Below are 16,406 nucleotides of genomic sequence, written 5' to 3'. Positions count from 1 at the left end.
TATCTTTATTTAAAGTTTTTAGCAGTAAACCGTGATATTTTCCTTTCCAACTTATATTTTTCAGATTTTTATCAATTGGCATAAAAATACCTTATTATTAGGGTTTCTTAGTTTTAAAAGTAATGGGGGTTATTTAAAAAACTAGGAAACATTATCGAGTGTCTTTTTTTATTTTTTTGAATAGGCTCATCTTCAGGTGGAACTAATCTGGTTAAGATTCCTACAGAAAAAAGAACTCGGAGAAAACTAATGCCATCTCCCTTGAAAGGACAGCATACTCTAAAGTCTCCACCATCTCAAAGTGTGCAGCTCAATGATTCTCTTAGCAAAGAACTTCAGCCTATTGTATATACACCAGAAGACTGTAGAAAAGCTTTTCAAAATCCGTCTACAGTAACCTTAATGAAACCATCATCATTTACTACAAGTTTTCAGGCTATCAGCTCAAACATAAACAGTGATAATTGTCTGAAAATGTTGTGTGAAGTAGCTATCCCTCATAATAGAAGAAAAGAATGTGGACAGGAGGACTTGGACTCTACATTTACTATATGTGAAGACATCAAGAGCTCGAAGTGTAAATTACCCGAACAAGAATCACTACCAAATGATAACAAAGACATTTTACAACGGTACAAAAAAATAATATTTGCCAATTCTTTTTTTTTAACATAGACTTTCAACTATTAGTTGAGGTTTATTTCATAAACCAAGTGTGCCATTTTGATTATAAAACAGTCTGTTTTATTTTCATTAAATTTTAATTATCTTTCTCTCTGAATATTAATTCACTAACAAAATATTTTAAAGTCTTAAATTTGATATCTTAAGTCAGTTGACCGTCGTTAGTCTAGGAGAGACCTTAAGATATGTTTAGTTTGTTCTTCTTACTCTGAAGGTGGATTATACAAGCTATTGTTGGAGGATTATCATGTTTATTATTCATTAATATTTTCACTGAAGGAAATTTCACACTTTCTATTGATGTTTAGCAAACCTCAACTTACTCTGAAATGGTCATACCCCTAAAGTATGGTTGAATGTGTGTCATCCAAGCAAACATATCCTTCTCACTTTATCTGCATAATCATACCCAATCTAAATATGGAAAGAAAAATACCTTCACTATTCTATGCCACTGGGAATGCAGAAATCTCTTGATAGCAACTTTACCTGTGTTATAAAGAGAAAAGAATACCCCAGGACAAGCAAGGGAATCTTTACAGTATAGCAGAATGTTTTTCTTTATATATTAATACCAAATGGTTTTCTAATTATGGACACATTTGCTTCCTTTTCTCTTCATAGTTCAAATCAAAATTATTATTTTTTATTTGTCACTATTAATATACAGGCTTGATCCTTCTTCATTCTCAACTAAGCATTCTATGCCTGTACCAAGCATGGTGCCATCCTACATGGCAATGACTACTGCTGCCAAAAGGAAACGGAAATTAACAAGGTATGATTAAACATAAACTGGTTTGGTTCTGTAGTTATATAAGATAATCTTTATATATTATATGCTATTGCTTTTTTATTTTTTATAATTAGACTCTCAATTCATGTTTAAGCATACTTAGGATAAATTTCTCTGAATGGGGTACTGGATTTATATTATCAAAGGGAGATCTTGAAAAACTCAAGTATTTCACTTGATATTTTATAAAATATTTCATATTACAGACTTAAAAATAAATTGAAAAGTTTTCTGTCAAAAACTACTTAATTTTAACTTTTCTGGGGTGACAATTTTTACTTATTTCGTTATTTCTACTTACTTCATTATCCTTTTTAAACATTACCAAATTTCTTCCATCATAGAATTATGTTATTTTAATGGATTAAGATATATGACTAAAATATAATGAGTGAAGAGACTTTTATTTCTGCCTAAGACAGTGTAGCTTGTATCAGACCAAGCTACCTATCAAGAACAGTTGTAAAAAGTGCATAAAATAGAACCAACAGCTGCTTGAAGGCAATGGAGAACAACCATGATAGCCAGGATGGAGAGCCTGAGATCCCAGAGAAAAGAGAAACATGCTATAGACAGCTAGACTTTCTCTGCCTCTGTTTTTTATTTAGCATTTGCCAATTTATGGCATAAGGCATAGAGGCCGAACAGAAAATGGAAACTTAGAGCTATCAGCTGTCTTACTCTGAGCTAGGGAAACAAAATTATTCTGTACAGGTTTTGTCCTCAAGGTATTCGCCAAGTTCTCAGCTTTGTGGAATGAGAGGCTAAGATGCCTAGCTGAAAGTAGCTGCTAAGAGGCTAAAGTATTAAGCAGAGTTTTGATGTTCTTATGAGGCTTTCACAGAAAAATTGGAGTTCAGGGACCACCATGAAGAAAAGACCCTGTTAAACACATTAGGATTTTATTTGAGATCCCTGAAGGGTGTTTCACTAGGAGTAGGGCAACCTAGAAATAGGCCAGTTCTTGAAAGTCTGAAACAGACCTTAGACCAACTTAATTCTTGATTGGATCAAGGTGATTTATCTTTGCTCTGCATCAATGTTTGGCACTTAAACAAAAATTACAAAGTATGCCAGGAGACAGGACCAAATGACTAAAAATTAAGAGAAAAAAACATCATGGGAGCAGTGATTCATACGTGAGGCAGATATTGGAATTATCAGATAGGAATTTAAAAATTTTAACTGTAATAATTTCAACAAATAGATACTTCCCCAAAGAACCAGATTCTATTAAAATTAATCAAGTGGATATTCTAGAACTGAAAATATAGAATTTACTGAGATGAAGAACTCAATAAATCAATTCAGCAGATTACATACAGCAGAAGAGAGTATTAGTGAACTGAAAGATGGATTTGTTTTTTACTTTTTATTTTTGTGGGTACGTAGTAGGTGTATATATTAGGGGGTGCATGGGATATTTTGATACAAGCATACAATGTGTAATAATCACATCAGTGTAAATGGAGTATTCATCCATTTATCCTTTGTGTTATAAACAATCTAATTATACTCTTAGTTATTTTTTAAATGTACAATACATTATTGTTGACTGTAGTTACCCTGTTGTGCTATCAAATACTAGATCTTATTCGTTATATTTAGATTAAGCATCCCCCCATTAACCATCCTCCCCAATCTCCCGAAAAACCCTTCCCAGCCTCTGGTAACCATCATTCTACTCTCTATCTCCATGAGTTCAATTTATTTTTTAGCTCCCCAAAATAAGTGAGAACATGCCAAGCTTATCTTTCTGTACCTGGCTTATTTCACTTAACATAATTACCATCAGTTCCATCCATGCTGTTGCAAATGACAGGGTCTCATTCTTGTTTCATGGCTGAATGGTACTCTATTGTGTATAGGTACTATATTTTCTTTTTCTATTCATCTGTTGATTGGCACTTAGGTTGCTTCCAAATCTTGGCTATTGTGAGTAGTGTTGCAATAAACATGGTAGTGCAGATATCTCTTCAGTATACTGATTTCCTTTCATTTTGGCATGTATCTAGTAGGGGCATTGCTGGATCGTATGGTAGCACTATTTTTAGTTTTTTGAGGACTCTTCAAACTTTTCTTTATAGTGGTTGTACTAATTTACATCCCCATGAACAGTATACAAGTGTTCCCTTTTCTCCATATCCTTGCCAGTGTTTGTTGTTGACTGTCTTTTGGAAAAAAAGCCATTTTAACTGGGGTGAGATGATATCTCATTGTAGTTTTGATTTACATTTTTCTGATAATCAGTGATGTTGAGTACCTTTTCATAAGCTTCTTTGCCATTTATGTCTTCTTTTGAGAAATGTCTATTCTTTTGCCCATTTTAAAAATCAGATCATTAGATTTTTTTCCTAGAGTTGTTTGAGCTCCTTATGTATTATGGTTATTAATCCCTTGTCAGATAGATAGTTTGCAGGTATTTTCTGTAATTCTGTGGGTTGTCTCTTCACTTTATTGATTGTTTCCTTTGCTTTACAGAAGCTTTTTAACTTGATGTGATCCCATTTATCCATTTTTGCTTTGGTTCCCTGTGTAGGGTATTACTCAAGAAATCTTTGTCCAGTCCAGTGTCCTGGAGAGTTTCCCCAATGTTTTCTTTTAGCAGTTTCATAGTTTGAGGTCTTAAATTTAAATTTTTATCCATTTTGATTTCATTTCTGTATATTGCAAGAGATAGGGATCTAGCTTCATTCTTCTGCATATGGATAAACAGTTTTCCAGCACTGTTTATTGAAGAGACTATCTTTTTTCCCAATGTATGTTCTTGGCAGCTTTGTCAAAAATAAGTTTATTGTAAATATGTAGATTTATTTTGGGGCTCTCTATTCTGTTCCACTGGTTTGTGTGTCTGGTTTTATGCCAGTCCCGTGCTTTTTTGGTTACTATAGCTCTGTAGTGTAATTTGAAGTCAGGTAATGTGATTCCTCCAGTTTTGATCTTTTTGCTCAGGATAGCTTTGGCTATTCTGGGTCTTTTGTGATTCCATATAAATTTTAGGATTGTTTTTTCTATTTCTATGAAGAGTGTCATTGGTATTTTGATAGGGATTGCATTGATTCTGTAGACCACTGTGAGTAGTGTGGACATTTTAACAATATTGATTCTTCCAATCCATGAACATGGAATATCTTTCTATTTTTTTGTATCTGCTTTTCTTACATCAGTGTTTTATAGTTTTCATTATGGAGCTCTTTTACTTCTTTGGTTAACTCCTACTTATTTTATTTTTAGCTTTTGTAAAGGGGATTACTTTTTTTTTCAAATTATTTCAGTGTTTGTATATAGATATGCTACTGATTTTTGTATATTGATTTTGTATTCTGGAACTCTACTGAATTTGTTTCTAGGTTCTCATAGTTTTTTGTGGACTCTACGTTTTTCCAAATATATGATAAGATCATGTCATCTGCAAACAAGGATAATTTCACTTCTTCCTTTCCAATTTGGATGTTCTTTCTTTCTTTTCTTTCTCTTGTCTGATTGCTCTACTTAGGACTTCCAGTAATATGTTAAATAATAAATACTGGTGAAAGTGGGCATCCTTGTCATGTTCCACAACTTAGAGAAAAGAATTTCAGATTTTCTGCATTCAGGATAGTACCAGCTGTGGGTCTGTCGTGTATGGCTTTTATCGTGTTGAGATATGTTCCTTCTATACCCAGTTTTTTGAGAGTTGTTTTTTTTTTTTATGCTTTAAGTTCCACGGTACATGTGCATAACGTGCAGGTTTGTTACATATGTATACATGTGCCATGTTGGTGTGCTGCACCCATTAACTCGTTATTTACATTTGGTATATCTCCTAATGCTTTCCCTCTGCGCTCCCCCTACCCCACAACAGGCCCCGGTGTGTGATGTTCACCTTCCTGTGTCCATGTGTTCTCATTGTTCAGTTCCCACCTATGAGTGAGAACATGCGGTGTTTGGTTTTTTGTCCTTGCGATAGTTTGCTGAGAATGATGGTTTTCAGCTTCATCCTGTCCCTACAAAGGACATGAACTCATCCTTTTTTATGGCTGCATAGTCTTCCATGGTGTATATGTGCCACATCTTCTTAATCCAGTCTATCATTGATGGACATTTGGATTGGGTACAAGTCTTTGCTATTGTGAATAGTGCCGCAATAAACATACGTGTGCATGTGTCTTTATAGCAGCATGATTTATAATCCTTTGGGTATATACCCAGTAACGACATGGCTGGGTCAAATGGTATTTCTAGTTCTAGATCCTTGAGAAATCGCCACACTGTCTTCCACAATGGTTGAACTAGTTTACAGTCCCACCAACAGTGTAAAAGTGTTCCTATTTCTCCACATCCTCTCCAGCACCTGTTGTTTCCTGACTTTTTAATGATTGCCATTCTAACTGGTGTGAGATGGTATCTCATTGTGGTTTTGATTTGCATTTCTCTGATGGCCAGTGATCATGAGCATTTTTTCATGTGTTTTTTGGCTGCATAAATGTCTTCTTTTGAGAAGTGTCTGTTCATGTCCTTCGCCCACTTTTTGATGGGGTTGTTTGTTTTTTTCTTGTAAATTTGTTTGAGTTCATTGTAGATTCTGGATATTAGCCCTTTGTCAGATGAGTAGGTTGCGAAAATTTTCTCCCATTCTGTAGGTTGCCTGTTCACTCTGATGGTAGTTTCTTTTGCTGTGCAGAAGCTCTTTAGTTTAATTAGATCCCATTTGTCAATTTTGGCTTTTGTTGCCATTGCTTTTGGTGTTTTAGACATGAAGTCCTTACCCATGCCTATGTCCTGAATGGTATTGCCTAGGTTTTCTTCTGGGGTTTTTATGGTTTTAGCTCTAACATTTAAGTCTTTAATCCATCTTGAATTAATTTTTGTATAAGGTGTAAGGAAGGGATCCAGTTTCAGCTTTCTACATATGGCTAGCCAGTTTTCCCAGCACCATTTATTAAATGGGGAATCCTTTCCCCATTTCTTGTTTTTGTCAGATTTGTCAAAGATCAGATGGTTGTAGATGTATGGTATTATTTCTGAGGGCTCTGTTCTGTTCCATTGGTCTATATCTCTGTTTTGGTACCAGTACCAGGCTGTTTTGGTTACTGTAGCCTTGTAGTATAGTTTGAAGTCAGGTAGCGTGATGCCTCCAGTTTTGTTCTTTTGCCTTAGGATTGTCTTGGCAATGCGGGCTGTTTTCTGGTTCCATATGAACTTTAAAGTAGTCTTTTCCAATTCTGTGAAGAAAGTCATTGGTAGCTTGATGGGGATGGCACTGAATCTATAAATTACCTTGGGCAGTATGGACATTTTCATGATATTGATTCTTCCTATCCATGAGCATGGAATGTTCTTCCATTTGTTTGTGTCCTCTTTTATTTCATTGAGCAGTGGTTTGTAGTTCTCCTTGAAGAGGTCCTTCACATCCCTTGTAAGTTGGATTCCTAGGTATTTTATTCTCTTTGAAGCAGTTGTGAATGGGAGTTCACTCATGATTTGTCTCTCTGTTTGTCTGTTATTGGTGTATAAGAATGCTTGTGATTTTTGTATATTGATTTTGTATCCTGAGACTTTGCTGAAGTTGCTTATCAGCTTAAGGAGATTTTGGGCTGAGACGATGGGGTTTTCTAGATATACAATCATGTCATCTGCAAACAGGGACAATTTGACTTCTTCTTTTCCTAATTGAATACCTTTTATTTCCTTCTCTTGCCTCATTGCCCTGGCCAGAACTTCCCACACTATATTGAGTAGGAGTGGTGAGAGAGGGCATCCCTGTCTTGTGCCAGTTTTCAAAGGGAATGCTTCCAGTTTTTGCACATTCAGTATGATATTGGCTGTGGGTTTGTCATAGATAGCTCTTATTATTTTGAGATACGTCCCATCAATACCTAATTTATTGAGAGTTTTTAGCATGAAGGGCTGTTGAATTTTGTCAAAGGCCTTTTCTGCATCTATTGAGATAATCATGTGGTTTTTGTCTTTGGTTCTGTGTATATGCTGGATTACATTTATTGATTTGCGTATATTGAACCAGCCTTGCATCCCAGGGATGAAGCCCACTTGCTCATGGTGGATAAGCTTTTTGATGTGCTGCTGGATTGGGCTTGCCAGTAGTTTATTGAGGATTTTTGCATCAATGTTCTTCAGGGATATTGGTCTAAAATTCTCTTTTTTTGTTGTGTCTCTGCCAGGCTTTGGTATCAGGATGATGCTGGTCTCATAAAATGAGTTAGGGAGGATTCCCTCTTTTTCTATAGATTGAAATAGTTTCAGAAGGAATGGTACCAGCTCCTCTTTGTACCTCTGGTAGAATTCAGCTGTGAATCCGCCCGGTCCTGGACTTTTTTCGGTTGGTATGCTATTAATTATTGCCTCAATTTCAGAGCCTATTATTGGTCTATTCAGAGATTCAACTTCGTCCTGGTTTAGTCTTGGGAGGGTGTATGTGTCCAGGAATTTATCCATTTCTTCTAGATTTTCTAGTTTATTTGCATAGAGGTGTTTGTAGTATTCTCTGATGGTAGTTTGTATTTCTGTGGGATCGGTGGTGATATCCCCTTTATCTTTTTTTATTGTGTCTATTTGATTCTTCTCTCTTTTCCTCTTTCTTAGTCTTGCTAGCAGTCTATCAATTTTGTTGATCTTTTCAAAAAACCAGCTCCTGGATTCATTGATTTTTTGAAGGGTTTTTTGCGTCTCTATCTCCTTCAGTTCTGCTCTGATCTTAGTTATTTCTTGCCTTCTGCTGGCTTTTTAATGTGTTTGCTCTTGCTTCTCTAGTTCTTTTAATTGTGATGTTAGGGTGTCAATTTTAGATCTTTCCTGCTTTCTCTTGTGGGCATTTACTGCTATAAATTTCCCTCTACACACTGCTTTAAATGTGTCCCAGAGATTCTGGTATGTCATGTCTTTGTTCTCGTTGGTTTCAAAGAACGTCTTTATTTCTGCCTTCATTTCGTTATGTACCCAGTAGTCATTCAGGAGCAGGTTGTTCAGTTTCCATGTAGTTGAGTGGTTTTGAGTGAGTGTCTTAATCCTGAGTTCTAGTTTGATTGCACTGTATTCTGAGAGACAGATTGTTCTAATTTCTGTTCTTTTATATTTGCTGAGGAGTGCTTTACTTCCAACTATGTGGTCAATTTTGGAATAAGTGCAGTGTGGTGCTGAAAAGAATGTATATTCTGTTGATTGTGGGTGGAGAGTTCTGTAGACGTCTATTAAGTCCGCTTGGTGAGAGTTTTTATCATAAAGGGATGTTGAATTTTATCAAATACTTTTTCAGCATCTATTGAAATGATCATATGGTTTTTGTTCTTCATTCTATTGATACAATGTATCACATTGGTTAATTTGCATATGTTGAACCATCTTGCATCCCTGGGATAAATCCCACTTGGCCATGATGAATGATCTTTCAGGTTTGTTATTGGATTCAGTTTGCTAGTATTTTGTTAAGGATTTGTGCATGTGTTCATCAGGGATATTGGCCTGGAGTTTTCTTGTTTTGATGTGTCCTTGTCTGGTTTTGGTATCAGAGTAATACTGGCCTCATATAATGATTTTGGAAGTATTCCTTCCGCCTCTGTTTTTCAGAATAGTTTGAGTAAGATTGGTATTGGTTCTTTTTTAAATGTTTGGTAAAAATCAGCAGTGAAGCCATCAAATTCCAAGCTTTTCTTTGCTGGGAGACTTTATTATGACTTTGATTTTGTTACTTATTATTCATTTGTTCAGGTTTTGGAATTTTTTCTGAAAGATAGACTGGTAGGAAAATATCCAAACTGATGTGCAGTATGATAAAAATATGGGAAGAAGTGAAAGAGACATGGGACACAATTTTTAAAAGTCTAGAAAATATGTATTTTGTGTCTCAGAAGGGAGTGAGAGAAAGAATAGGGAAAAGTAATATTTGAGATGATGGCTAATACTTATTCAAAACTAACAAAAGACATTAAACCATGGATTTGAGTAGCACTGCAAACCAAAAGCCGGGTTAATATAAAGAGAAACATACCTAGGTATATAGTAGTAAAACAACTAAAAACTAAAGATAAGGAAAAATCTTAAATATATTGAGTTATATGACTAGAAGTTCATGATGCATTCTTTATATCCTATAAATTGAATGCAATGACAAATATACTCAATAAATATAAAATGGATCTGACTTCCTCTACCTCTTTTTCTTTGCTATGTGATTATGGGGAGAAAAGTTTATAGAAGACCTTAAAATGACTCTTTTTAAATGTATTTTCCACCAGGAGCCTGTTATCATTTAAGTAACAGGAAGCGAATTTACAAGTAGCCTACTTATTTGTGCTACATAGAGTATCTTCTCATAAGTGAATTTAATATCTGTCCTTGTCCCTCCTAAACAAAGTATAACAGAGACTTGGAATGTGTAAATTTAAAATTTATGGATTTTTCCTAAATGTCTCATCTATGACATTTAAAATTTTATATTTGCTAAGGTACAAATTTGATTTGTACAATTATTCTGGTTTATATACAGAAGTCTGTCACTTTATGAGTGAGCCTAGCTAACCACAATCATCTGTTTCGTCTACTTTTATCACTAATTTGCATAGTGTCAGTTTTGTCATTTGTTCCATTAATTAATTTTAGTGAGTTTTCTTGTCCTTCACTGGTAGTATGTTGTGTTTACTAAGATGTCACAAATGTTTATAGATAAGAATAATTTTTAAATATGAACTTAGCTATTATAAAATCAAATAGTTTTTCAGGAAATGTCCAGGTATGTGAATTGTGTATTTGGAGTGATTTTAGATAAGTTAAAGGGCTTCCACATGAACAACTAATATTGTGAAATAATATTAAAGGACATGTAAAGAAAGTAACTTGATTTCTTATAGCCTATTAATTGTTCTATTACATTCCCTCTGGTACCAGTAATTAGATCCTGCCATTAACTAAGGTTAAAAGAGATTAATGCTAGAAATGTACATGATTACTTTTTTTAATCTTCTTTTTCCCCAATTAAAGTTACATGCGCTTCAGAGTAATAAACTGTGGTATTTTCCATTTAGCAGCTTTATATACATATTTAGTTGTGTATATATTCTAATATAGTTTTTAAAATAAAGAAGGGGAAGCTCTCTATATATGTATTTCATTTATTTTGCATAAAATGGCATTAGAGTTTGAAAGCACTGGATATTCCAAAACCTACCCAACAGATTTGTTTAAATAATTGAGTATATTAGATTTTTAATCTTAACAATTTATTTAATATTTCTCTAGCACACTATTTTACTAAATTGATTAGCCTATCAAATATTTAAATATAATGCATACATAATGTTAGCTTTTACTTCTCAATTATATTAATCAGAGTTTTGGATTGTTTGTTTTGTATTTGTTTGGTTGATTGGTTTTTTGTTTGTCCACAATCTTCTGAGCACCCCAAAGCAGTTTCATATTTGCCATACACTTTTATTTTGTTTTGAAAGATGTCTAATTATTTCAACTAGAAATTATTTCAGATAAAATAGTAGAAGAGGTATTATGTTGAGTAGAAACATTCTACCTATATAAGGGAGCAAAAGGTTAATTCTTAACTTTATTTATAGTTATGGGAATATGTTTTGTGCACAACTGGAAGTGTCTTTGGATTTTTCAGTATAGCCTTTAACATAATTTGAACTTGCGCTCATCAGTTTTAAGTCTTTGTAGTTTATGACCTACAACATAAATGTTAAACATTTCATCAGTGGACTATTTAACTAAATCGTAAACATGTTTGGGTATATTTTACTTTTATATAAATACGCAATTTATTAGGGTTGGATTTGATTTCTAGAAATATGAGTTCTAATCAAATGGCTTTATTCAAAAGCCTAATTTTCAAGAAAGAACATGCTATGAGTAAAAAGTAGGGTCCTGGAACTAGCCATAATGCATAATCGTACTATGAAATAATAAAGACAACTTTGGGATAAATTTAAGAAAAAACAATGTTTTATCAAAAGTAACTAATAATATTGATCTTTATATTTGAAAAAATAAAATCACCAAATGATCAAAAAAGAATTTCTGCCTTGGACAGCTGATATATACAAAAGTGTGTTTAATATGCAAAACAGAATCATAGTAATTTATCACCATTTAAGAAGTGGGGACTACTGTAGTTGATATAATATTTGTGCATACAAATTTGTGATTTTATCTTCTTAAACTGTGTCATTTTCATTACTTCCACTGAGTAGTCACCCCTTATTCAAGTTTTGCTTTCTGTGGTTTCAGTTACCCATGGTCAACCGCAGTTCAAAAACAGGCGATTGTAGAACAATAAGATATTTTAATAGAGAGCGAGACCACATTCACATAACCTTATAATAATTATAATTATAATTGCTCTATTTTATTATTATTGTTAATCTCTTACTGTGCCTAATTTATAATTTAAACTTTATCATAGATATGTGTAGGAGAATACATAGTATATATCCGGTTTGATACTATCCTCGGTTGCAGGCATCCACTGGCGATCTTAGAAGATATCCCCCCCGTCGATAAGGGGGATTACTATATAGTATCTTTATTAGCCAGAATTTCCCTAAGCTTAGGTTGTTTGAATCAGCGTGGAAGGATGTTCTTTTTCCACCCAACCCCCCCCAATCCTACCTGTTAAAAATTGATCCTCTTTAGGACTAGGAAGGATTGCTGTTTTTCAGGACCCAGATCAAATTCATTGCATCCACAAAATTTCCATTATTCTTTCTTACTCTACACTCAAGAATCTATAGCTCCTTGTATTATGGAAACCTTGGCACTATATTTTTACTTTACCTTATATTATTTCATGTATTTATCTTATTTTTTTCTCATCTCCACTGTATGTCTATTCTATAAGTTTTTAGGACAGGGATTTTTGTGCCTTGTTTACTTGTATATCATGTAACACAAGGCCATAATAGGTGTTTACTAATATGGCAACTCAAATTGAGTAAGAAAGTTGAACCATCAGCAGTGTAAGACTGATTAAATTTTTGAAGCTAGAGCAAATGAAAACAGGTCATTCTTTTTATTTCAGTTTCTGTGATTGTAATAATTAGAGATTTTTATTGTTACCCTGCTTTCATTTTAAAACAAGGTTTTTCAAACAATCTCACTTGTTTATACCTTTCACATTAGGATTCTTGGTCCAAATTTGTAACATGAGCTTAGTTTTTTTTTTTTTTTTTTTTAACCTCTTGTGACTATGTGCTACTGATCTCTACATTTTGAATAATAGTGCTTACTTATCTGCCAGCAAAGCACCCTGGAATATTCTGCTACAGAATTGTAACATACACCTACAATCATAACATTCAATTTGAATAAAAATATAAAATATCCAATTTAAAATCACACACAGCTAAATTTCTCTGTGGGCCAAAAATGTATTTAGTACCTCCACTTCTGTGAGATTTCACAACTTAATATTTTTGTGTTTTATTTCTTTAATCATTGTCGCATGTACAATATGTATTAGAACTTTGAGGTATAAAAAAAATGCTTAACTAAATTAAAAACTTTTCCTCTCAAGTTCTACATCAAACAGTTCGTTAACTGCAGACGTAAATTCTGGATTTGCCAAACGTGTTCGACAAGATAATTCAAGTGAGAAGCACTTACAAGAAAACAAACCAACAATGGGTATGTCTCAGCTTTTAATTTGATATTTAATGGTATGACTCTGTAACACACATATAGTACTTTACGTTTTTTATTGTGTTTTCATAAGAATCTCCCTTTATTCATCACCTTTACTATGTGGTAGAACAAGTATGATTATCCACATATTATAGATAAGGAAACTTTAAAACACAAAAGCATTTACCCAAGATCACACAGATATTATATTGGTAGAGCCAAAACTCAAGAACCAGATCTTAAAACTCTACTTTCTACACCCTTTTAGTTATCCCTACTGTCTCATAATAATTGAAATAATTGGCTAAATGTATTACTTAATGTTACTAATTAAGTGTATTTTGCAGATAAACTATACCCACTTTAAATTTTTCTCTTAGCGTAATATTTTGAATAATTTGGCCTCTAACTCAATGTGTAACTACTACACAGATTCCAGTCTGTATCTAGTTACAATCATATTGTAACTCCCATTGGCAAGTTGGAAAAGATACTGATGGATCTTTCCCATCAGTATGAAAGATACTACATTCCATCAACCGCATATGGGAGTGACATGAGTTTATGGTAACAAAACCACTTCAGTTAAACTAGTGGTGTATCATGCCAGCCAGTTTTCAGGCCCCAACATCTAGACCTCTGTCTCTGATACTACAGTTCCTAAGACTTCATTCAGAAACTATTTATTCACTAGGCATTTACCATGTCCTGTGATGAATACAGAGAGCAGTAAGACACAGTTTGATTGTTCTCTATAGGAACTGATAATTATAGCAAATGCAATTTAAAGGTGTCTCATGATATAATTTTTCTAAGGATAACATGAAAGCTATTGTTAGTTTTTTTCTGTCGATGCCCTTTGATTAGAGTAATATAAAATTCCTCAGTAACTTTGTCAAACTATATTGGTAAATGCCTGCTTCCTGTAGTAGCCAGTGTTTACCTTAAGTTCAATGGAAATTGAAGCATCAGACAGCAAATTGAAACATCAGACAGTAAGGTAGTAAAGTACAAAATTTACCTTGATCATTTGGTTTGACATGTTGTATTTAATAATGCTTAAAAATGTGTATCTGTAGTTAGTTTAGGTGTGTACTGCCCCACTGATCTTCTTAAAAAGTTCTTCAAGAATCATAATTCTACAGCCAAATAATAAATTTATAAAAACTCTCAAATTGGCCGGGCGCCGTGGCTCACGCCTGTAATCCCAGCACTTTGGGAGGCTGAGGCGGGTGGATCACGAGGTCAGGAGATCGAGACCATCCTGGCTAACATGGTGAAACCCCGTCTCTACCAAAAAAATTTTAAAAAATTAGCCGGGCATGGTGGCAGGCGGCTGTAGTCCCAGCTACTCGGGAAGCTGAGGCAGGAGAATGGCGTGAACCTGGGAGGCGGAGCTTGCAGTGAGCCGAGATCGCACCACTGCACTCCAGCCTGGGCGACTGAGCAAAACTCCGTCTCAAAAAAAAAAAAAACTCAAATCATAGAACTTGGCTTTTTCTAATATGCTTATTATCTGAAGATACAAATTCATCAAATATTTCATGTATAAAGAGATGTGAGTAAAAATATCTACTATGGGGAAAAAAAAGTGGGAGATGATAATAAACCACAATGCTTGCCAAAGAGGTATTAGTTTGTAAGGAAAGATATTTTATATACATTATAATGTTCAAGTGAAAAATGTATTAAACCAGTTTTCTAACTAACAATGTACAAATAAAGAAACATAGGACCATCAGTAGGGAAAAAGGCAACTCCTGTTAACTTAGCAGTTAGAGAAATAACAGAGAGTGTTAAGGGAATATGTCCCTCTAAAACTAAAACCTAATATGGCCAACAAAGTGGATAAGCAATTAAACTAATCCTGAAAAAAGTCAATGGCACCCTGTTGTAACAACACTTTGTTGAGTAGAAAATGACGGTGAAAGCTAATGAAGAACCAGAAGAATGGGCATAAATAGAACATACTTGAGAGGTGGCAGTAAAAGAAAAAAGAGCTATAGGATTAAGATCAGCCCTTTAGGAAGTACTAGATGCAAATGATAATTTTAAAATTGGAAAAATATGGAAGTTTAAATCCCTGGGGAAATATAATCCAAGGAATGAGAAAAAATGGTGATACAACAAAGAAAATGAAGAAATGCTTGTAGAAATGGTCTTTTATTAGTCAGAAAGAAAGAAAATGAACATAGTATTTAATTCAGCGACTTCACCCGATGTCTGTGTATGTGCACGCACTCACTGAAACTTTAGTTTGCAATATGAATTTGAACAGCTTTTAAACCAAAGGTATTAATGTCTCTTTGTTGTTGTTATATTTTAAATTATGTTAACTAACAACTATGAATTTCAAGAGTAAATTTTTCTTTCTATGGTCATAATTTTTATAAGTTGAACGATGAAAACTTTTTGAATGATATTTATGCCATATTTATGCATCTTTTTATTTCTTCTCTAGAACATAAAAGAAACATCTGTAAAATAAATCCAAGCATGGTTAGAAAATTTGGAAGAAATATTTCAAAAGGAAATCTAAGATAAATCACTTCAAAACCAAGCAAAATGAAGTTGATCAAATCTGCTTTTCAAAGTTTATCAATACCCTTTCAAAAATATATTTAAAATCTTTGAAAGAAGACCCATCTTAAAGCTAAGTTTACCCAAGTACTTTCAGCAAGCAGAAAAATGAAACTCTTTGTTTTCTTCTTTTGTGTTCTAAAAAAATAAAATTTCAAAAGAAAAGGTTGTCTTTTAAGTTTTTTAAATATTTGTTGCCTTTTAAAATCCCTGAGTGTAAGTTACCATGGTGGCAGCTTAGTTTTACTATGCCACAACAAGTTGACTAGGACATTTTAGTAAATGGTAGTGAGTTAAATTATCTTTATTATTTTTTAAAAATAAGAATTTAGAAGTGGTAAAATTATGGCCCAAGATGTATTTGGTTCTCTATTATGTTTTGATACATTATTTTAATCATATATATGACTTTCCTTTTCAAAAATACTTTAATGTACAAGTGTAAATATATGTGCCCATAAAATCATTGTAAATATTATTTAGTCATCACAAATAAAATATTGTCCCTTGCTACTTGATATATTAAAGATGTAGATTTTAAAGTGTTTCATTTTCTTGTCTCATTACTACCCCTTTCATACTCTAAACCAGTGGTCCCCAACCTTTTTGGCACCAGGGACTGGTTTTGTGAAAGACAAAACCTCAGACTGAGAGTAGGGGGTGGTTTCAGGATGATTCAAACACATTACATTTATTGTGCATTTTATTTCTATTATTATTA

The 16,406-nt window shown here is 33.6% G+C and overlaps 1 protein-coding gene across 3 annotated transcripts in view; it reads left to right on the top strand.

Annotated features, from left to right (window-relative positions):
- Nucleotides 1-16,230, top strand: part of KIF18A (kinesin family member 18A) — an 87,538-nt gene extending 71,308 nt beyond the window's left edge. For all 3 annotated transcript variants that reach the window (NM_031217.4, XM_017018379.2, XM_017018380.2), the window contains 4 exons: nt 185-632; nt 1,355-1,462; nt 12,999-13,108; nt 15,567-16,230. In NM_031217.4, the coding sequence (NP_112494.3) occupies nt 185-632; nt 1,355-1,462; nt 12,999-13,108; nt 15,567-15,649 (749 nt within the window). In that variant the 3' untranslated portion in view covers nt 15,650-16,230. The remainder of the gene's footprint in view (nt 1-184; nt 633-1,354; nt 1,463-12,998; nt 13,109-15,566) is intronic.
- Nucleotides 16,231-16,406: the final 176 nt, after the last annotated feature.

Source organism: Homo sapiens, chromosome 11, assembly GCF_000001405.40.
Source record: "Homo sapiens chromosome 11, GRCh38.p14 Primary Assembly".
In the NCBI taxonomy this organism is placed as follows: Eukaryota; Metazoa; Chordata; class Mammalia; order Primates; family Hominidae; genus Homo; species Homo sapiens.
The sequence above is the reverse complement of the archived record's forward strand: the minus strand, read 5'-3'. Positions and strand labels throughout refer to the sequence as shown.